General features: G+C 33.5%; 1 protein-coding gene across 4 annotated transcripts in view, besides 1 other annotated feature; it reads left to right on the top strand.

Annotated features, from left to right (window-relative positions):
* The window catches only part of BMP5 (bone morphogenetic protein 5), a 121938-nt gene that overhangs the window by 79087 nt on the left and 19586 nt on the right, over window positions 1–23265 (top strand). For all 4 annotated transcript variants that reach the window (NM_001329756.2, NM_001329754.2, NM_021073.4 and 1 more), the window contains exons 3-4: window positions 2077–2225; window positions 22261–22455. In NM_001329756.2, the coding sequence (NP_001316685.1) occupies window positions 2077–2225; window positions 22261–22455 (344 nt within the window). The remainder of the gene's footprint in view (window positions 1–2076; window positions 2226–22260; window positions 22456–23265) is intronic.
* Window positions 21496–22039: an enhancer, noted in NCBI's record as "NANOG hESC enhancer chr6:55639263-55639806 (GRCh37/hg19 assembly coordinates)". NCBI's record gives its function as "activates a minimal SCP1, AML or CMV promoter by ChIP-STARR-seq in naive H9 embryonic stem cells {active_cell/tissue: H9 hESC(naive)}" and the evidence as "EXISTENCE:reporter gene assay evidence [ECO:0000049][PMID:30033119]".

Below are 23265 nucleotides of genomic sequence, written 5' to 3'. Positions count from 1 at the left end.
AAAGAAAAAAAATACAAATTCCATAAGAAAAAAATATATATATATACATTTAAACTGGAACTGTCTCCTTCATAGACATGCTGGAAAGTTTTGGGATTTGAACATGGAGAGTTTGGAGAATTTTTTTTTCCTGAAGAGATGGCACAATTTAAAAATAATAGAAAATATCATTGAAATGACTACCAAAAGAAATTTGTTAATTTTGCTTCTGAAAGTTTACCTCCTTGTTCTTTTTTGTTTTTCATGTCTTTATTAATATCATGCCAAGGGATGACATTATGAGCCTTGCAGAATTGATTAGGACATTTTTGCCATATTTCAAATGAAAGCAGACCTGAAATCAGTGTAGCACTCAAGTATTTCCCAAGGTACAGGGTGACTGCTCCTGTTTAAGAAGTGAACAGTGTAAATGAGTTAATTCCAAGATTAAGGTCTCAGAGATATTTACCAAATATCTCAAAACTTTAAGACAATTCTTATTTTCTTGTCTGCTTATTTGGAGGATTTTTCAATTTAGGAGGAAGAGGAAGAATTTAACTGACCTGCTATCACACTGGGACTATAAAGGGTTCTACAAATTCTAGTGAGAACTAAAGGAATCATTTTACTGCTTTGTATGATATGCTTGTTATAAGTCTGCAGTATCTAAAACTGAATCCTATATCAGATGTGAAAAAAGCAAGCGTTTCAATCCTTCCTTTGGTAAACACTATGACTGTAATTGTGAAAAGACAATAAAACATTCATAGTTTGTATTAGGATATTTAGATTATTTCCTTATCATATTACATTTATTTGAATTTCTCTAGATTAATAGAAAAAAATCTAGTTAAGAAACGAAGATGTAGTTTCTAAGATACACATTTTTTAACTTTGTTTTTGTTAAAATGGTTCACTTTTAAATTTGAGTATTTTTCATTAAAAAAGTATGATTTATTAAAAATGTGTTTTCACATTTTGTAAGCCACCCTTAAAGTGACTTCTATGATGTATACAGACAGAAAATGCAGTAAAATAGTATTTAACACAGTATGTTGATATTTAACCTAGTATAATAATATTAAACAATGAATAGCTCTATTGTTTTCTATATAAATAATATGCTCTTAAATAGATTCAATACAATATCAAAGGTCATAAAATGCATAATGGTGTTATTTCTACTCTATCTTGAGGGAGATACAGTGTTTTACAGTTAACCTATTTGAGCCTGAATGTTTTCAATACTAAGGAGCTGTTGTAAAGATTAAATGTCAGAAATAGGTAATTTTAGCTCAGAAACTGCCTGTAGTAAGAGAATAATAAATTATTCATTATAATTCAACAAATGTTTATACATTTATAAATATAATGCTAAAATTAAGATTCAGCAATACAACCATAAACGTTAATAACAGTAACACTGTGCAGATTATTCTAAAATATATAAGTAAGTTCATATTCACAGCCATTACTGTCCCAAGGGGACTTAAGCTTGCAGAAGATATTAACAAAAGTTCTCATAGATTGTGCCACTCAACTCATGGGATTTATCCTTAAACCAGTGGTATTACTCTGTAATACTCTCTTGGTGTTTGGTATCCATAAAATAATTATATAATAAAAATAGAAAAAATATTAGAAAACTCCTTCTAAAACAGATGATTGCATTACATCCTGCCTGTGTTCCATTCATTTGAGAATTCACATTCATCCAAACTGGAACAACTACTTTCATTTGACTCTATTCAGTTTAATCCTTTGTTTTGAGGACTACTTACAGATGGTGGTTACCGGGAACACTGATGACCAGGGATCAAATTAAGAGCACTAAGTCAGTTTATAAAGGCCAATGAAAAGCAGGAAAATGGAAATTACTTTCAGATAGAGATTACTAATTTGTACCAGGTTTGGTTGGGAGCCTAGTAACAAAGGTTTTGTATCTTATTACTCATCACTTGAGTCACTTGTTCCTCTTGTTCTTTAACTAACTGCTGTTATTTTACAAACTGCTTTTGTAATGTTTTCACTTAAGTCTAGGAAATAATGATGTTCATTTAAACCTTTAACTTTTTTTGTTGTTCCTTTTCTTTTTAGGGATGCAGATCTGTTCTTGTTAGACACAAGAAAGGCCCAAGCTTTAGATGTGGGTTGGCTTGTCTTTGATATCACTGTGACCAGCAATCATTGGGTGATTAATCCCCAGAATAATTTGGGCTTACAGCTCTGTGCAGAAACAGGGGATGGTAAGCACTGAATTTTATATATTTTTTTGTGAAGCTTGTTTGACACATTGAGAGTTATCGTTTTTTATGTGATATAACCAATATATGTTTTATATTTATGATGTCCAAGTCAACGCATTCTATAGGGTAGTGCAAAACTATATTAGTTAGTTAATCAATTCAGAACACATTTATCCAATACATTTATTGTCAGGCTCTGGGGTGGGAGGTAAAGAAGACGTAGGTACTGCTACTGTTCTCAAGGAATTTTTAGTCTAGTGTTGAAGACCTGTATATGTAAGTAAGTAGCACTACTCTAATACAACAATACCAAAATAATATAGTTGTGGTGGTTACACAACTATACGATTTGTAAAAATTTATGGAACTGTACATCAAATAAGAATAAATATTACTATATGCAAATTATGTCTTAAAGCTCGACTAAAACAATGATAAATATGTATCAAAAAAGACACTAGGGAAGTAAAGGAGCTACCAATAATACAAAGTGGGAGAGAGGAGATGGGGATGGAATGAGTCACAAAAAACTGCAGAAAAATAATACCAAGTTAGTTCTTTACATATTGCAATGTTTGATCAAAGACTACTGCTCCAGAAGTACTTGTGGAAGGGTCTGTGGGAAATCTTCACTTTTAAGAAGGTCCAGAAGTAATTCTTATGCTCACAAGTATTTACTGGGCACCTACTATATGCCCTAATACTGAAAAATAGTGACACATCAAAGACACCATGGGAAAGCAGAACATACACAGCTAAAGACACCTGGGATGGAGCCAAAAGAGCCACTTGGTGAGATTCTGGAGATATAAAAGTGAGCCAATGCAGATGGCTTTATGAGACTTGCATTTGAGTGATGCACGAGGTAGTAATAACACAATAGTATTAGTGAATGCATATCACAGCACACTGAGGTGTTCAATGGATCTGTGAACATAGGATGGTGACTAGATTTGAGCTATAATCTGAAACACGAAGATGTGATTAGGGGAAGAAGTTGGGGGGCAGGCAATTCAGACACATGGAACAGAATTTGCAGACTGTGGTGATGGTGATACTGGCATATTTGCTCAGAAGGCTCAGGAAGCCAAGGCCAATATATTCAGATCTTTGTTGCCCTTTGATCACTCAAAGTTCAAACACTCTAAACTCAAATCTAGACTTGCAGGTCATTTAAAATTATATTTGTCATGATAGGAGGATAAGACATAATTTAATGGTGTCCTACCTTTAAATACTTAATATTTAATTTTAAATATTTATAAAAAACATCATGGAGATCTACATTGTGCTGTTATTCTCTACCCTAAAAATGTTATCACCAGGGACAGGGAGGATAATTTTTAAAAAGATCATTAATAAGAGAACGTATCTTATTTAAGGTTCACTGCTTCTTGTTGTCACAGAATCAGGCAAGAAAAACATTAGGCCTACAGTCTACCTCCCTCATTTTTCATTGCGGTGTTACACAAAAGCCTTGTTTAATAAACCACAGAGGTAAGTAAAAGCTGTGTCTGTCTTGGACCTTTTTCAAGGAGATTTATTGCTATAAATGCTTAAGACTTCACTATGGCGTTGTTTTACCTGCAGCCAGTTTCATAGCCTATGGATAATACCATTACCGATGCTGTGACTGCAAAGATTGTATATATGGAATGAAGTTCACACACAAATTGAATATATTAAAGGGTTAGTCTAGTGCGTGTTTTATGTGTCTCAAATCTTTTTTTTTTTTTTTTTTTTGAGACGGAGTCTTGCTGTTTGTTGCCCAGGCTGGAGTGCAGTGGCGCAATCTCGGCTCACTGCAAGCTCTGCCTCCCCGATTCAAGCCATTCTCTCGCCTCAGCCTCCCGAGTAGCCGGGACTACAGGCGCCTGCCACCATGCCCGGCTAATTTTTTTGTATTTTTAGTAGAGACGGGGTTTCACCGTGTTAGCCAGGATGGTCTCGATCTCCTGACCTCGTGATCCGCCCGCCTTGGCCTTCCAAAGTGCTGGGATTACAGGCGTGAGCCACCGCGCCCGGCAGGGTCTCAAATCTTGATCTAGAAAAAGAAAGTTCTTACTGAAAGTATTATAGGCAAAGGTTCAGACCTTCCCTATGCTCTCAAATCCAGATTTTTCCATAGCTTTTAATTACAATGTTGAATTTTCATAAACAATTCAAATATTCTGGATTATAGGTTAGAGTACAATTATGGCTTTACGATTATCATTAAAGGATCCTCAGAGTTCAAGCATTATAAATGTAGACTGAGTAAAGCACAAATTTAAATAATCTTCCAAGAATTCTTACAATGTTAAGCTACTGTACATTTATCGTCAGAAATGTGACTGGGAAATTGGCACTGGGGAGGTAAGCCAATCGTTCCTTCCCTGGTATGTGGCCCAAACAAGAAAAATGAAATTAGTGGTATGTGCTTCTCCCACTCTCCTCTTTGGGGATATGCTTGAAATGTCTAACTAAACAAATCAAGAAATCTATGAAATATGATCAGCCTGTTTCCTTTTAATTTCCATCTTCCCTCTTGCTCCACGTGGACTTTCTAAAGTTTCTCTTTTTGTTTTTTCCCCCACTCTTATCTTGTATTGGTTCTCTCTTTTACTATTTCCATAATTTAACTTCTATGTTGTTTTCAATTTATCTTTTTCTCTCTGAGAACTAGTCTATATTTTGACTTTCCCTTTCTCTATGATTAATTTTCTCTTATATTACATGGGTAATTTTACTTTAAATTACTAGTATGTTATTTTTTAGCCTAGAGTAAACTAATGTTTTACTCCTTTAAAAGGTTTCCAAATTCCATATTTGAGAGTTTGGTTTGAAATATACAGCCTTTTGTTGCTTTTCCTTATCTCTTTGATATTGTCTAATTTGAAGAATTTTCAAATGGTTAAACATGCTAGGCTAGCTGGCTTTTTGCTTTTAGGCAGTACTTAAAACAGATTTTAACCAGAGGTGGAAGAGATAGGGCCTTGGGAAAGCAACTGATTCTCTGGGCACCTTAGTTTTATTAACTGCAACTTCATGGAGAATATACATGTGACATTTCCTTATAAATATGAATAACCAGATGCTTCAGCTTATTACAGCTTCACTCATTACCACTGCTTGTGTTCTCAATGTGACATTGCTTCAGAGCAGACAGACCATCTTTTATTTTCAGTAATATATTCCTAACGTTTTCTTCTAAGCAAAAGGAGTTGAAAATCATGAAAGGATGATAGGAAAGTCTGCTTTCAAATTCATTTGTAAACTATTATTCATTTATCCATTTGTCCAACATATAATTATTGAGTATCTGTGCATGCAAGGTAGCGGGTTACAAAAGCATATCACCTAAGAGACAGATATAGGTAGCTAATTTTAGAAATAACAAAGTGCCCTAATACTGAAAAATAGTGATACAACAAAGACACCATAGGAAAGCAGAACATACATGGCTAAAGACACCTGGGATGGAGCCAAAAGAGCCATGGTAGCGGTGGCCTTGAAACTGGGTCAGCAGTTAGATTCGTAAGAAATACAGATGAAGAGGAAGGGAAGTCATGGAAGTATGCGAAGTGATGGTGAGGGCAGGATAATTCATTCCTGGATGAAGAAACAGTAAGTAAATGCACACTATGTCAAAATGGCGTGGTATATTCTGGAAAAATTTAACAGTCCAGGATTGGCTAGAACAACTTTCATGTGTAAAATGTGATTGCAGATGCTATTAGGCAAGTGATCTGTAAACAAATCATGTAAGGAATATGAAATCTAAATTAAATGTAATATTCTCTTGTAGCTTGATCGTCAGCCATAAAAAAGAACTAAACTTACTACTTTAATCAATCACAGTAACACCACTGTGATTACAGGTTTGAATGAATGTCAGTTTCATGAGGTCATGGGACTTGTATCACTGATTCGCACTTGTACCCTCAGTGCGTGGCACAATGCAGGTCGTAGGTATTGAAAATGTCTTGAATGGTAATTGAGTGAGTTTGTAATTAAAAAGGTCTTGTAGTTCACTTGCCACTGAACATGTTCCTCTTAAGAAGACATTCCAAACTGTGAGTTTTGGAATTAGTAACTAAACCAGTTTAATGTAACATAGGAGCAGAATTTTGTAGAGCAAACCACAATACAGAAATTAAATAGTTTAAATCATAAGGAAAGGAGAAAGTCAGTGATGTGTATTATTAAATTTTGTTTAGCCTGCCCCTGTGAAGAAAAAATACCAAAAAGGTCTAAATATATTTTGGGAATCAAAAGGCTGCTGAAATCAAAAGTAGCATTTTGATTCCTCAGAGAGCCTGTGGAAATTATGTCAGTTTATGAAATACTCTTTTTAGAAATTTGACAAATGAACTGCAATGTATTTGGCAAGAGAGTTCAAGAATATTTTATTATTTTTTCATGCTGAATAGATAATTCTCAGAGCTCCATATGTTTGTTTCAGCAAAATAATACAAACATATGAGCAAGCAAATGAAAAAATATATTGCCGCTTCTTAATGGCAAAATTTAGACATTCCAGACAAGATGTTATATCCAATTTTACAAAATTGGTTTTAAAGTTCTCAAGCACTTTCTCATGGTGGTTAATAAACCTCTATGATAAAATAAATTCTATTTTTGTTTTTAATAGCAAATGAGTAGGCTTAAATCTGTCCTAAATTATTGTAAGATTTCTAGTTCCCTACATTATAATGATACATTAATTAACTGACATACTAGGTCTTTATTAACATTGCTAATAAATCTACAGTAATGATTTTTCCTACACACATATGCACATAGTTTATTACACAGATAGCAATTTAATCTAACTTTAAAGACTTGAGTTTTCCCCCCAAACACTATAATTTTCCGTTGTTTGATGCTTTATATAGCTTAAGCCTTCCAAGTAGATTAATTCTTTTTTTCAAACTTGGGTTTATAGAATAATTTAGAGATTGAAAAACAAAGATAGCATTTTGGGGTTCATTAGAATGTCTTTTAAAAAGCCCTATGTTTTCAGACATTTTCGGTTTGGCAATACTCAGAATGAATTTTGCCAGTGACTTTTTTTCTTTCTATTCAAACTTGCTTATACATCAAGAAAAATTCAATCCGTATGTTTCTGATTCATTTGTATTCAAGTCATCAAAATGTCGTTTTGTCAGAGAGTTGTTTAATGTCCAAGAAACATTATAAGGTTATTTTTTAGAAGTAGGACTTAAGAGCCATTTTGAAAACAAAGTCAGCATAATTTTCAACCACATCAAGGTAAAACTTCAGGTTTAAAGTCAGAAAGTTTAAAGTTTCACTAAATTTTGTACCCAAATCAAGAAAAAAAAAAGATTTCAGAGGTATTAAACTGTCAAATTAAATTATATGGTAACTGATACTTAAATGTAAAATAAAGAAACATTGCTTACAGTAACTTAGAATTTAAAGTTTTGATATTTAAATGAGGAGGATAAATGAACAGATAGCTACATTCTGGAAATAAACATTTTAAAAAGAAATCATTAGGAAAATTAGATTAAAATCTGGGCTCTGATAAAATACTTACCATTCTAGCCATTGCATTGCATCAATAAAATGAGTGTGATAGTAATTACCTCACAAGGTATGTGAAGTTGTATTAGATGATAGTAGCTGGCACATGGTAGGGCACAAATAAAGTTCTGTATGATAAATTGGACTAGAGATTGCACAGACTTTTCACTTACATTAGCTCTGGTTATCACTCCTTTAACTTGGGACTAGTTCTTTTATTGTGGAGGTTTTGCAGATGATTTAAATACATTTTAGATAAATTCACAAGTGATAGTCCACAGGGAAAAGGTCAGATTGATGTATATTCTGAAACTTTGAGTTGACAGCAGAGTATATAGGCAGTTATGTTATTAAGCTCATGTTTAATAACATTGATTGATAAAATAATTACTAATAAGAAAGTTTTAACCTGTTTCAATCTAGGGTGTGAAGTCAATAGAAATGAACCCATTTTGTTCTTAGAAAAACAACATATTTTTGGAGATTACTAATTTAATCAATGAAAATAAGGGAAACAAGCTTTTCGTAATGCAATAGGATTATATATGGGGCTAATTTATTAAAGGCTGGCCAACATTAGCATAAAAACTCCTGTTTAAAATGCCTCAGGACAAATTACTAGTATTTGAGTTAATAAACCTATTAGTAAGCGTTAAACAGTAGAATGGATTCTTACAAAGATAATTGAATTACAAGCAGGATTTTAATGTTCATAGAACACAAGATCAAATAAATATTAGTAGTCTTTGATAAAGAGTAGGGTCCAATGGTCCCTAATACATGTTGTGCTGATGTTTATACCAAACCATATAAAATCTCCACCATGTAAATGGTATTTCCCAAAAAATGCTGGGAAAGCTGAGATTTTAGATTTTGAGATTTAGATTTTAGAAAATCAGAGATTTTCTAAAAGTACCAACAGTTTAATCCTCTTTTATTTTCGCCAATATTATTCTGCAAACTTCAAATAAAGTCTTTTGTTATCAGGACAATTATCTTGAAAGTGGGTAATTTTACATTTCATTACCCAGGATGTTGCTGTGTTCTCTCCTTTTCAACCTGTGATAATTTTTGTTGTTGTTGTTCATTCCCAGTAATTGACAACTGTTACAGCTATGTTAACAAAGAACAGGATTCATCTTTTTCTTCAACATTGGGTTGTTTTTCATTCCTACCTGCACAGTAATTTAACATACTGATAACATTTCTTTTCCAAATTAAAATATCCAGTAATATTTCCTAAATGTATTCTGTTAAACTCAGTTTTTCCAAAATTGCCACATCTTTTGAATTGCAGTATATTCCTAATTAGAAACATATATTCCAGTATCTAAAGTCCACATGTGATTATATATTAAACAAAGATATAATTTACAACTGAATATTCTTTTAGGTTTATAAAATTTAAGTGTATTTGTGTGAGAAATGCAGAGTTCTTAATATAATATCTACTTAAATTTAGTAAGTCCTAGAATCTGCTATTTTTAAATGGAAGTATCTGCCTAAGTTTGTTGTGTTATTCTTCGTATCCCTAAGAGAGTGGTTTTTACCTCAGGGAAAGAGCTCCAAATTAAGCCTCTGTGTTGTCAGAGGTTTAATTTATCTGTGTCAAGGGTTAGATGATCTATATGGCTGGGTAATCTGAATATCAGCTGACAGTGCTAATAAGTAGCAGAAGAAATTCAAAGATCAAGGGTGATATTTTTCTTTTTCTCCTGCTGTTTTGACTACAGTTTCTCATTATTATTTATCTAAGTTCAAAAAGTTGAATTATGTCCACTTATCTGAGGATCTTTTAAACATTCTAAGATTTGATAATATTTCCTTCTCTTATCTGAATCTTATCTTTTGAAGTAATTAAGTCATTTTTGTTCATAAAACCATATGGCTCCCCTTTTGCTGAATTTATGGTGATGACAATTGGTTTTAAATAAACAAATGAGAGAGTATCTATATCCAAGAAACTGAAAGAATCACATATCTTGCTGGAGGTTCTGAAAGGAAAAAAGAAGATATACACTTATGATTTGCTCTAGATAAATATTGTTATAAATAAGTAGTTCTTTATGTATTGTCTAATGTTTAAGGATAATTAGCTTTGACTTCTGGATTAATATTTAAGAATAAATTAGGAAGACAGCAGAAGAATAGTTATCTTCCAGTACCTGAAGAAATGAAATTAATAAATAAAATTGAACTTTTTCTCTACAGTCCACAAGTTAAATCAATGTGCATAAAAGGCAAACTGAGGGCTCTTTACAAAAGAAAAAAAAAGCCTGAATAATGGAAGCCAATGGCCTTAGAATTGTTTGTTCTGTGAGGAATAAGCTCTATGTGACTTGAAGAATTCACTATTTAGTTGACTTCTTGTCTAGGAATTATACAGCATAATGTAAATTTTCAGGTAATTTCTACAGTCACTTACAACCTTGCTGCATCATGGAATGGTACGCCAATTGTAATCTTTAAGCATATATTTATACTTTAAGCATTATATTCATGTATAAAAAAACACTATATGTAGAGAGGGTACAGTGAATGGAAATGCATTGTCTTAGAGGAGGCTGGTATTAAACAGTTACATTCAAACCCCAACTTAAGATATGGTATAAAAATAGTGATGGAGAAACTGGTAAAGAGAAGCGAGAAAGTTAGACATGTTTTTCTGTGCGCATGCATGGGTGTGTAGACATGGAATACCCAGGCATATACACATTCTCAAGTAATTGTGTTAGGGATCAAATATAAATTCATAGTTGAAAATCTATAATAAGATTTCTAGAGAGTTCTTTTTACAGCATTTAGCAGGATTGTATTTTCTTTTTAAGTGCCATACTAAATGCTTTAGTATCATAGCAAAACATAAAACTCAATCTAAATTTTTCCATAACATTTTAGAGTGCCTTCTACTTTTATCAAATTTTTTCATCAAATTTCAAAAACATCAAAACATAAATTATCTATGGCCATGTGTTACTTTCTGAAAAAATTTTTTTTTTTTTGCAAGAAATCAAGCCTTGGAGAAATATTTAAAAGATGTGGCTAAGAGAAACAACTATGTTGGTCATTTTAATGTGAATGTTTAGCAAAAGTGTCATTGAGAATTCCTGTACATTTATGGTAAACATGACTAGATTTCTACTGAAAATAAATATGACATAGATTTCCCTTGGGGTCTGAAATCAGTATTTGTTAATTTTCCAAACCCACGTATGCTGTGACCCATGGGTTTTCTAACTCGCGTAATGTCTTAAAGCACATCGGAGAACATAAATCTTCCCTGTATGCTTTAGTTTTTTGTCATTTGCCCACTGCATACAAATGAGCAAAATGTCTTTCATGGCAGGAGTAACTGAACATAAATAACGGATCACTGTTAAATTTCTACTTGGTTCAACCAGAGATCTCGTTAATTCTCTTATTAGCCATATAGAATTTTCATAAAATATACTCCATGTATTTTCAAACATTCTTCTTATCAACTTATTTTCTGTCTATACAAATATCCTCTTTTTTATACGCTGATTTCAGCAATACCTTTTGCCAATATCAATTTGTTCTTTCATGCTAATATTTAGTATTTTTAAATTCTACATAGTTAATCCAGGTTTAACTTTCTAGGTATATTTTTAATTCATTTTCAGTAAGAATTTAAACCATGCATTTCCTGTGATGGACAACTGAAATCAAATAAATAACATTAGTGGAAACTAACATTGCTGAGAGCTTACTCAGTGTTAACCATTTTGCTAAGCTCTTTAAATGAAATATCTACTTCTTCTTAACCCATTTTGTACACGAGTAAATGTAGCTTAAGAATAAATCTGAAAACGATTTGTTTTCAGAGCCACCCTCTTATATGCTGACTCTTACAAATTAAATTAGTCTTTTATAAATTCTGAACTGAAAAATAATTGTATTGTTATAATTTCCAAATAAAACAATGCCATTAAAAATGATTATAAGGGAGAGAATTGAATTTTTGCTGTATCTGTTGGGAATTATTTTTGGGTTTTTATATTTTCTGCCTGGAGTTTAATTGTGATGTGGTCCACAATATGTAACAGTAATTCTGTCACATTTTTTATTTTCTAAATCAACCTTTTCTTTTGTCTCTTTGTGTAATTATAGTTAATTTGATAAATTAATAAATAGGAAAGGAGAAAAAGAAACTTTTCATCTGCTGATGATTCACTTCAACATGAAATTTAGTCAAATTTAATCTTTTTATTTAGAACTTGATAACAAACCCCCTCTTCTTAATTTAGTCTTGTATGATGATTCTTAGGCAGGAAATAATTTCTCTTTATAGTTATTGATTATAGAATATATTCAATAATAAATTGAAAGACTAAATTTTGCTGTTTTATCATGTACATTGTATAAACAATATTTTAAAAATAGTCTTTTTTTCTTTTGAAGACTTGCATCTCTTTGTTATGTCCTCTTAGGATAATTACATAGCAGTAAACATTTTAAAAAGAATAATATCTGAAACATTTGGCATAGTCTAGTTACTAAGAAACGACAGTTCTCTTCTTCAAGTCCCAAAGCAGGTAACATATGTAAGGGGAGAATTGCAGGTTTGATCATACTTAAGAACATCTTACACTGGCAGATCACAATAACTTAATTCGGAAGTCTTAGCTTTTGTTTTAATTTAGTTTATTTATATTTGAATGAGAGCCATATGGTTAACATAGTTTGCTTATCCAAAGTTCAGCATCGCAACTAAAAAACATATATGAAAAAAGGTTTTAAAATTATTGATTTAAAGTAAGCAGTTACAAACAGGAGTTAGTTGTGGTTCACTATCTGGCAAAATATATATTTTACTAATTTTTAAGGTTTCTTTTAATGAAAAGGGGTTCAGAAGTGCTTGGCTACATCTGTATTTCTGTTTTTGATTTTCCCTAATTCAGAACAGTAACTATAGAGCACCAGTCTTACCAAACAAATGCCAAAGTCAGAAATATTTTTTAGTTTTTGTTGTTTGTTATATTTTCTCTTCTAGACTCTAGCTAAACTGATGATCTGTGGGGTAAATATTTTCATGGTAATATCAATTTAGGATCATGAAAAATATAAAATACTACTTATTGTCATCATACACTAGGGTTGACTCTTTCTTTTCTTTTCTTTCTACTTAAGTTTAACTTATTGTTGACATATCTCTCAAAGATATATTGCAAAACTAGCAGTAGTGCTGGTATTTGTATCCTGAGCAGAGAGCACAAGTGAGAAGAAAAGAGAACCTTTAATCCTTATAAGGCATGAGCAACCACAGTGTATCTATACTGCTGAGAGTTAAATTTTGGCATGCGGGTAATAAGATTATAAGAGAGAGAGGAAAACCAAAACAGAAACAAACAAACAAAAAACAAAGGCATCTAACCATCAAATCCAGTAGTATATATTGGAAGTGGCAATCAAAATTTGGATTAGACTAATACTACTTTGACAATTAAATTATATATCCCCACTCCTTAAAAATGTATGCTAATTTCTCTGTAGTGTGACAGTAATTGAATCTAAGTTTCAATTAGAGTGGAATAGGAACTGGGGAAGCCACCTGCCTTCTTATGGCTAATAAGAAGTATTGAGTCTTCATCTTCCTACTTACTTACTAAGGAAAGTCTGATCCTGAACTTAACGAAAGAAGCAGCTATAACATTATTCTTGGAAACTACAATACGTATGCCACTGACAGGCTATTTTTCCTCCATTCTTCTCAAGGTGAAAATATTTATACAGGAACCCAAGATGAAAGTATTCACCAATCTCTAAAAAGTGGACTACTGTGTACTTAGAGGAAAAGCATACTACTTTAGTAGTGTGACAAGGCTGAGTTAAAAATCTGACTCTTTTTTGAGCCTTATTTTAAGAGGATAACAGTTGCTTTGCTGTGAGGAGTAAATAAGATGTATACAAATCAACTGGTAAAATAGTTGTCTTCAGTACATGGCAGCTGTTGCTTCTCTCTTAATTTCAGAAATGTTGAATTGGCTTTTTCAATTCCCAATGTCCCTGATCCTTTCAGACACGCTTCTTATTACTCTCAGGTACCAGTTATGTTTATATGTAGAAGTATTCTTCACGTTATTTTTCTCTGAAGTAACACAACTGATAGAAATATGGAAGTTGTACTTATGCTATGAGGTCAGATGACACTGCTGACCTAGATTGAGCACAAGAAAACACTCTTGGAAACCAGCTATTATTTTGCATGCAAATGGTTCAGGATGCTTTTGTTCTGGAGGCCAGCAAGGAATCATGGTGGTGTAAGATTTCACCTTGTAACTCGTCCCTTATGTGGGGCAGGCTAGATGGCCTTCTGGCCATAGCCAGATACATGAAAAAATGGTGAAGAAAAATTCTGCTTCCTTCTACTCAGAAGAATGCTTTATGATCAGCCTTCATATGTGAAGAAAATAAGCCCCAAATACTAAAACTCCACATTTTTAAATTTACTTTTTATTTATAATTGAAACAATATTGCACATATTTTTGCGGTACAATGTGGTGTTTCAATGCATGTGTACAAAGTGTAATGACCAAATCAAAGTGATTATCATATCCATCATTTTAAACGTTTATTATTTCTTTGTGGTAGCAGCATTCAAAATGTGTTCCTGCAGAAGTAGTTACTATGGCATATTACATTAGGTATCTCAGTATCAGTTCTCTACTGCATATTTTAGAAAATATAGTTCACTTTTTTTTTCACTTTCTTTATTAGGTGCCGAATAATTTATTTTTCTTCTATTTTGCTGGTACTAGACTGATCCAAAGATCCTGGAAGTAGCCTATGATCATTTGATAGGTTCATGTACAAATCAAAAGGGAAGGTCAAATATTTAACAAATAGATTTTCTGTATGATAGGCCGAGGTGGGTGAATCACCTGTGGTCAGGAGTTTGAGACCAGCCTGGTCAACATGGTGAAACCCTGTCTCTACTAAAAAAATACAAAAACTTCACCAGGTGTGGTGGCACATGCCTCTAGTCCTAGCTACTCAGGAGTCTGAAGGAGGAGAATCACTTGAACTTGGGAGGCTGAGGTTGCAGTGAGCCGAAATCACATCACTGCGCTCCAGCCTGGGCGACAGAACGAGACTCCATCTCAAAAAAAAAAAAAAAAAATTTGGAATAATATAGTAGCTGGTAAAAGAGTATCTCCTTTAGATACTCAGTAAGTTTCCCAAGTAACTAAGTTTCAAAGACCACTTTAATTACTATAGGTAAAATGCAGAATACTAAAATTTCACTGCTGTGAAACAAACTAAAATGTGTTTGACATCTAAAAGCTTTTTGTCATTGATGTTGTAACACAAAGAAAGAGTTTTTAAAGTTTTTGGTTGATTTCTGCTGAAATTCTGCTTCCCTATAGTTTTACTAAAATCCCCCAGGCTTCTGAAGGAAAAGATTCTTTCATTTAAGATATGTATAATTTTTATTTTAAAAAGTCACATAATAACTGGAGAAGAAGAAGAAAAATAATTCACTGTTCTCATGATTTTGTGAAAAGAATGTTTCTACTTTCTTAAAATAAATGAGGGCTATAAGACCAACTGCTAACCAATCTTTTTGGGGCATGTGACAGATGATGTCTGTAAAGTTCATAGGACCTCAGGGGAAAGGTGCTATATATAAAGACAAGAGCTATTAAAAAGTAAGTGCTTTTGTGGAGGTAAACTACAATCCCTAGCGTGAGATTCATATTTCTAGCGGCTGAAAATAGGGACCAAGTAAAACACATTTGTTGGGCTTGTCATGCCCGAGACAGCAAGCCCCTCATTTCAGAGTGATGTCCCATGGAAGGAAACTAATCATTTTCCATCACCTCAGTCCTGCCCTCCATGCAATAAAACATTTCAGCATTCTGGACAGCTTCCACAACTGGGCACAAACCTCTGGCCATGCTGCTTTACAGTTCTCAGCTTCTCTGTCCTCAGGCCCTACTTCCTGGACCCTCATGAGCTTGGGTTCTCAAGGGTTTGTGTTTCTCCCCCTGCATGACTTTAGTTATCCTGCCAATGTTTCTGACCAAATATCCCGTTTCTTTTCTAAGCCCCGTCACTTTATCAAACTGTGGGGCACGACAGTATCTTCTGCAAAATTTTTAGAAAGAATGTCAACACTTTAAAAAATCTCTATCCCCTTTAAACTTCTTTATCCCTAACATACCCAAATCATATAGAAAAATGGATTTCTTCTACTGCTATATGTTACCAGGAGTTGTAACCACGTTTCTTTCTTTCTTTCTTTCTTTCTTTCTTTTTTTTTTTTTTTTTAGTAGTGATGGGGTTTCACTGTGTTAACCAGAATGGTCTCGATCTTCTGACCTTGTGATTGGCCCACCTTGGCCTCCCAAAGTGCTGGGATTACAGGCGTGAGCCACCATTCCTGGCCATAAGCACGTTTCTTATCCACAGAAAACTCTCAACTCATAGTTCATATCAGTGTGTCAGGGTACTGCTACTAATAATAGCCCTTCCTGGATTTCATTTTTCCAGTCCGTCTTTTTTTTCCCCTTTACTTATGAGCCACAGAATCCTATGCTTGTTTGTACATATTATTACATTTGTCCCTTCCTTTGATTTTCACACATTACCAATAATATATAATTATCAATATATAATACTGGCAAAGTGGCTTTTTTTTTAGATTACTCTTTTAAATGTCAGTAAAAAGAAGAGAAGAGAAAAGTCCAGCCAAGGTATTGTACGCCAAACCTCATTTGTTAAACAGAACCCCAGAATTACTGTGAAGAATCACTCAAAAATCTTATCCTGTTCTCTACAGTTAAAAGAAAATTTTAATACTTAAAAAATAGTTTAAAATCCCAACTTTTCCTTATTTTTGTTTGAATTTATAAAGCAATGTAAACCATTTGAAAAACAAGAAAGTAATAAGGAGGAACGCTAAATTTCTGTTTGTGATACTTCAAGTCTGTATACTTAACTCTGGCAACAGGTCTGCGCTTTTACAATAAAACTACAAAAGATGCAAATTTTTCATCAAAGTATAACAAAGTTGAAATTTGTAGCTAGATTACAATATACTTAATTTAAGATTATAGTAAATTTAAGTATATATAGAATTTAAGTAGACAAGATTCTATCTTCCTCACATTCCTTAAAATCTCATATAAAAATGATTTATTCTGTATGCTGGGTGGTGAATTCTGTACGTTTTAAATGATCAGTTTCTAAAAAGGGTAGAATTCTAGTATAATTTAGAGTCATATAATCCATAATTTCACAGTACCAGAATCAAAGTTAATCACAGGTTGAAAATAAGTGAAGATCAGATAGATGTGTGGATGGGAGATAATACACTGATTTGACTACTGCTAAGGAGTCCATAACGGATACTGCAAGAGCCATTTTTGAAATGAAGAAAAGATAATTTGTGCACAAGTTCCATCACAGGTGTTTTGGGTTAAGCAGTCAATTACCGTGGGTTTAGAGGAGAAAAAAACGAACTGGAATGTATGCTAACATCTCAAAGTGATATCAACGTTTAGACTCTGATAAATCCTCAAATGAATGTTTTTCAAACTGTGTATCCTAGAGGGAAACTCAATGATCATATTTGGAACCACTTATCCTTATAACATCAACATGTGTCTGAAGAGCTGTTTTATGTCAGAATCTCCTTTAATAACTCTGTTTTGAAAGAAATAAACATTTTGAAAATCATATTTTCCAAAAGGAGTGGTCTGAAATACAAAACCGGTGAGTCTGGGATAGAGCTTTGGTTTGCCAGTCTACCTTCCCTGTGACTATAAATTTGAAATAGTTTCAGTTGTGTTCTTAGGCAAATGTGACCACAATACACTAACCTCAGTACTTATATGAAGTCATTTGGGTTAGAGTAGCAGATCTAGAAGGATTGAATCTCCAGCCCCAATTATGACAAAATTTAGTAGTTCAGCGCTCCAGCCTCATCTACATCCTTCTTGATCTCTTTATGAATAGAATAATAATTTCTTAGAAGATATCAGTCCAATCCTATCTTTGTTCACTGAGTTAATAAAACTGTAAAATAATATACCCATATATTTGCTGCTCAAATTGTTTCTTTATGATTCTGGTACAATAATTTTGAGGAGAAAATAAGATGGACAAGGTATAAATATTTCTTAAAAAACTTTTCACGAGCAAATATTTAATATTTTTGTTTGTTTTTTGTTTTGTTTTGTTTTTGTAAATACAAAAAGACAATATCTATGTCAATAACAAACTCTGGATGCCTACAGTTATAGTCATTACCACTTTCATTTCATAATCCAAGTATTATATGATACCCAAACCTGAAATAATTAGGAATAAACAATGTTTCTTTGGGTCTAACTGCCACCAGCAAGATCACTGAAATGTTGGCACATCCTTCAAGAACCCTTTCAATCTCCTCTCTGCTGTCTCTTCTTCCCTCCCATTTGTGTGTTTAAGCTTGAACAGCTTCCAGCAACCAAGCTTTTTACCTCCTATTACCACCCCATCCATTTAGCAGATCACATCCCTACCCTCTTTCCAGTGTCCACATCAAGACATGGATATCATACAAGGGAATTTTTCTCTTGCAATTGGAGCCACTTTATCCCATTACTGGCATTGTCTCTTGCTTTGCTTTGGTATAGTTATTGATGCACATTAAAACTCCCAGTGTTGTCAGATTGCTGCTCCGCTCAGCTTTGAGCTGGTACTACTCTTTGAAGTCAATGCTGATGACTAATACAGAAGATAATTTCGGAGATCATTCTGTTGCTGCCATCCTGACCCAATGTGGAACTGCTCAGAAGCCATTCTTCTCATATAGAGAGAATCTTTGTTCACCACTTCTGCCAGTCTGTTAACTAAGTTCCAAAGTAGTGCTACCTTGTCTTCCCAGTATTTTAGAGACTTTGGGTAAAAGGGATGTATTAGATTTTCTTTGATTCCCTTTCTTTCTAGGAGTTAAACATGCATCTATTGAAGCTGTGCCAGAAGTAACTCTGAGTTATAGACTTAAAAAAATATCACTGCAGCTCATCTTTTTCTTAAGATGACTTCTTGCCCACAAAATTGCTCAATCTTCTTTAAATATATGCCTGGCGAATCAAATCTATCACTGTTCTAGCTATGCCTGGATGTGTCTGAATCCTAAGGTGACTAAGCTTGGGCTCAAGCTGGTATCCTTACCATACTTTATTTTAATGTTCTTTTTGTTACCTCACCCCCATTTTCATTTCCACTGTATATTCAATGCTTCATCTTTATGTATGTTTTTAAACTAGAAACTACTCTAAAACAAGAATCAGCTTTGAAAATTAAATCCATGTTGATACACACATGTAAAGGTAATGTGTTTCTAAATCAAAATGCTTTAGGTAGGCTTCTTCAGTTATATATTTGCAATATCTAAAACATACTGTATGTTTAATAATATCATTTAAAAAGTTCAAATAAAGTTTTATAAAGAATTTACTTTTTTTTTAATACATACGGTGTAGTCTGGGTTTCTCTCAGTACTTCTACTAAAATAACTATTCAGTCTTTGAAAAGGTTTAGTCAACATAATCAATATAAGTGTATTGTTTCTGAAATACTAGGTCAAATAGTTAATGCATCTATGGTGTAGCTCAAGACCAAGGGTAACTGAGCAAGCATTAACTTGTGGAATCTTAATAGTCACTCCATTGCTGAAGTAAAAAGGAAACCAAGAGGAAACTTAATAATATTAAAAGTTATTTTAAAGGGAGTTCACATTGGTTTGGAGGGTACTTTGCTTCAAATACAATATCCACCTTTGTAAAACCCAAGAAACCCGTATTTGTAACATACACACATCTTTTCAGTTTTTAGAACATAAATCTTCAGATCCGTATTATTTCTCCACAGATAAAAATTAAAATATTGAAAGTCTTTGGAATAATAACAAAAGAAACCCCCTGGCAACCCAAAGGAAACTTGGAACTTCTTGTTAAGTGCTTATTTAACTATAAAAGAGTCAGTGTGTGTTGTAATGAATGGAAAATTGATTTTATTGTATTCCATTTATGAACATCTCTCAGCAACCTATTTCAGTATTAGAAAGATCATACATTAAAAATGATTTCTGCAGTCATCAATGTATACAAGTTAAAATTTAGCTCCTGTTAAATTAACACTTCATTAAAATATCAAAATAAAAGCTTCGTCAAATACTTTTTTATGTTGTACTCCAAGACAGAAAAAAAAAATGAAAAAATTTAAAGAACAGATTGCTAGTTATTCTATTCTATAACAGTTAAGTTTCTCAGTTCTTTTTTTTTTCTTTTGCTAAGCTCTCTGTCACTGGAAACATCTTAAACCAATTTCAAGTGCTACACCTGAATAAACATGTTGTAAAAGTGTTTATGTATTGAAGTGGGTCAGTTCAAGGTATGGTATTTGGCTGGAACTTCTAATTTCTCTTTTTACAGTGAAAGGGCTGCCAGAAGGAGGAAGTCTGAGCTGAATTAATACATTTGTTACAGTGGAAGTAGAATGGAAACTGCTCGGACCACAAATCAAACTGCCTCTTTCATTTATGCCAGTGATAGAGTTTTTCTAAAAAATATAGACTCTGGCATAGAGCCACTGTAAGTTTGCATTTAAAAGAGAAATCTATATGCTTATTTGTTTAAGGTTTACTGCTTTGATTATTTGTAAGTCCCTTCTCTTGTAGAACTCAGTATAGTGGCATTTGTGAGGCAGATGGCCATTTTAATACTTGTAGGAATTGGACAACTTTTCCCAGTAGGTTGTAAGACAACTGTGGAGGATACCTATGCTGTCTAAATTGATGCAGCCTTTTTTTTTTTTTCAACCAATACCTCCACATTTGAAGAACCCCTGTGTCCGTCCCTCTCAACAGCTGCACAACCTTATACGACACGGTCTCATTTTCTGACGGTCTTGTTCTCTGCACAATGGAAGTATACACAAAAGTTTTTATGCTGCCAAAATAAATTTTGTTAAGAGCAAGGGTTTATTTGCTAAAATGCCATTGATGCCATTTTGGGGACTTGCTTTCCTTTCCTTTCTTCTAAGGTGGGTCAGGTTTTATAATGGACTGAGGTTGCTCCACAGTCTTTACTGAATAAATATTTTAAGAAAACATGCACATCTCTCATGGGGCAAGCCAGAGTCAATCATGCACATATTTCAAACCACATTATATGTTACTCTTAAAAGATTGCTAACTTCTGTATCTAGAGTAGCAACTTTGCATAAGATATACATAATTCTTAACCAAATTTACAATTTAAGGTTAAATATCATCTTTGAATGATTTTCATTGAACCAGATATCAATGGTTTTCTTTTTCACATATATATAAAATATAATTTTCAGTGATTATTTTAAATTAGAAGAGCCTAATAAAAACTACTAAAAGAGGATACTATTAATACCTAACTGTAGGGCATTTGTGGAATCCAATTAAATAATGCATGGAAACTACTTAGAAAGATGCCTAGCACAGCAACCACTCCAAAGTGATTTGACATAGTTTTAAGTATTATTATTACTACCCACATGGGAGAGGTACTTTATCAACTTTATCTCTAGGGCACCTTGACTTTTAACTCACTCCTATATTGGTACTTGTTGTGTCCCTTTTCACTGATATATAACCACATCAAAGAACACATAAGGGTCTGAGACACAGGCTAGTTTATAGGCAAATTTGAGTCTTGAAGCTCACTTGGATTGTTTATTCTTCTTTCTGAGAGTCTCCAGGCTTGGTTTGCCTCTTCTGAATTCCTTTCAGTAAACATTTAGGTGTGTCAAAACTCAGAAGGGGAGGAATTCCAAAATTTCTATGTTTATTTCACAATACTTCATATTGATAATTATCAGGTTGGTGCAAAGGTAATTGCAGTTTTTGCCACTACTTTTAATAACTGCGGCTTAAAGCAGACCTCCATCCCCAGACTAGGCTTCCAGAATGACTTGTGAAGAACTTTAAGTGTAGTGCAGCTTAGTAAAGGTTGCTGGGCACTGGCCAGAAGTGAAGGTGGAAAGGCTATCACCACTAATTAACACTTGAAAGGCTTCGAATAGGCTGGAGAAAGTAGAAACACCCTGCCAAGTATTCGGCTTTTATAACTTAAAGGAAAATTACAGGGCATTTAGTGCCGAAGAGCCCATAGCTAATATTTTTTTAAATTGTTATTTAATGTGGACATTTCCAGGCGAATGAGTAGTCAAATCTTCCAATTTATAGTATTCTTGACTTCAAGGTCTGAGAAGCTCTCAGTGAGTGAAAGCAGCTGGAGGGTATTCTGTGGTGGAAGAATGATGCAAGATGTAACACCATAGATGGATAATTGTCTGTAATAGTAAGCCTCAATATTTATAAGAATCTTGGCCTGTAAGGAAGGCATTCTGATAATGTTTTAAAACTTTTCCCCTTTTCAAAGTACCCTCAGAATTCATTCACATCAGGTAATTGTTCTTTCTTTTTCATAAACCAAGTGCTTTTGTATTACGTTCTAGGACGCAGTATCAACGTAAAATCTGCTGGTCTTGTGGGAAGACAGGGACCTCAGTCAAAACAACCATTCATGGTGGCCTTCTTCAAGGCGAGTGAGGTACTTCTTCGATCCGTGAGAGCAGCCAACAAACGAAAAAATCAAAACCGCAATAAATCCAGCTCTCATCAGGACTCCTCCAGAATGTCCAGTGTTGGAGGTAAGAATAAACCCGAGCAGCAGTTATGCACAGAGAGTTATGGGGTCGTATGCTGCAAATCAAGTAGCCACAATAAATTTACCCTCTATGTATACCTTCGGATGGTACATTAAATCTTCCAGTGATGTTTCTAGCATCCCAGAATGTTTCATCAGTGAATCACTCAGTAATTCATTTTAAAATACATATGAGTTGCCTTCATATGTTGAAAGATTCAGTTCAAATTAAAGTCAAGATGACAGTAATAAAATTATGAAATGGCTAATCAACACAATCTAGCCAGAACTGAGCTACATGACTTGCTGAGCTAACTTCCTCAGGGCCTTTCAAAAATGGATGGTCAACCAGGTAAATTAAATGTAAAATCCTTTCTTTCGTACTTAAGTCAATACATGTGAATTATGCTACTCAGTTTTATTTTTCTGAGATTAGCAGGAGAAAGACATAAGAAGACAATGATTAAAATATTTACCTTTTCATTATTTGGAGGACTATTATCTAATTTTCTTCAGGTGTGTCTACACACACACACACACACACACACACACACACAGTCTTTCAACAAAATATTACGAATGCACAATTCATGTCAGTCTTTGCAAATTAATCTGTTAATTATAGAGGGATCAAATTTCAATTGATCAGAAAGCATCTAACTGCCAAAATTTGTAGTGGCTTAATCGTATTATTTATACCAAGAAGTACCTTGTTTAGTCCAGGATGCAAACAGTAAGCTGTTAGATGAAAATGGTGGCTATTTTAGTTCAAAAATTGATTTCATGTATAAAAATAAATTTGAAGGGGGAACTC

This window comes from Homo sapiens, chromosome 6 (genome assembly GCF_000001405.40).
Source record: "Homo sapiens chromosome 6, GRCh38.p14 Primary Assembly".
Taxonomy (NCBI): domain Eukaryota; kingdom Metazoa; phylum Chordata; class Mammalia; order Primates; family Hominidae; genus Homo; species Homo sapiens.
This window is presented reverse-complemented; position numbering and strand designations above follow the sequence as displayed.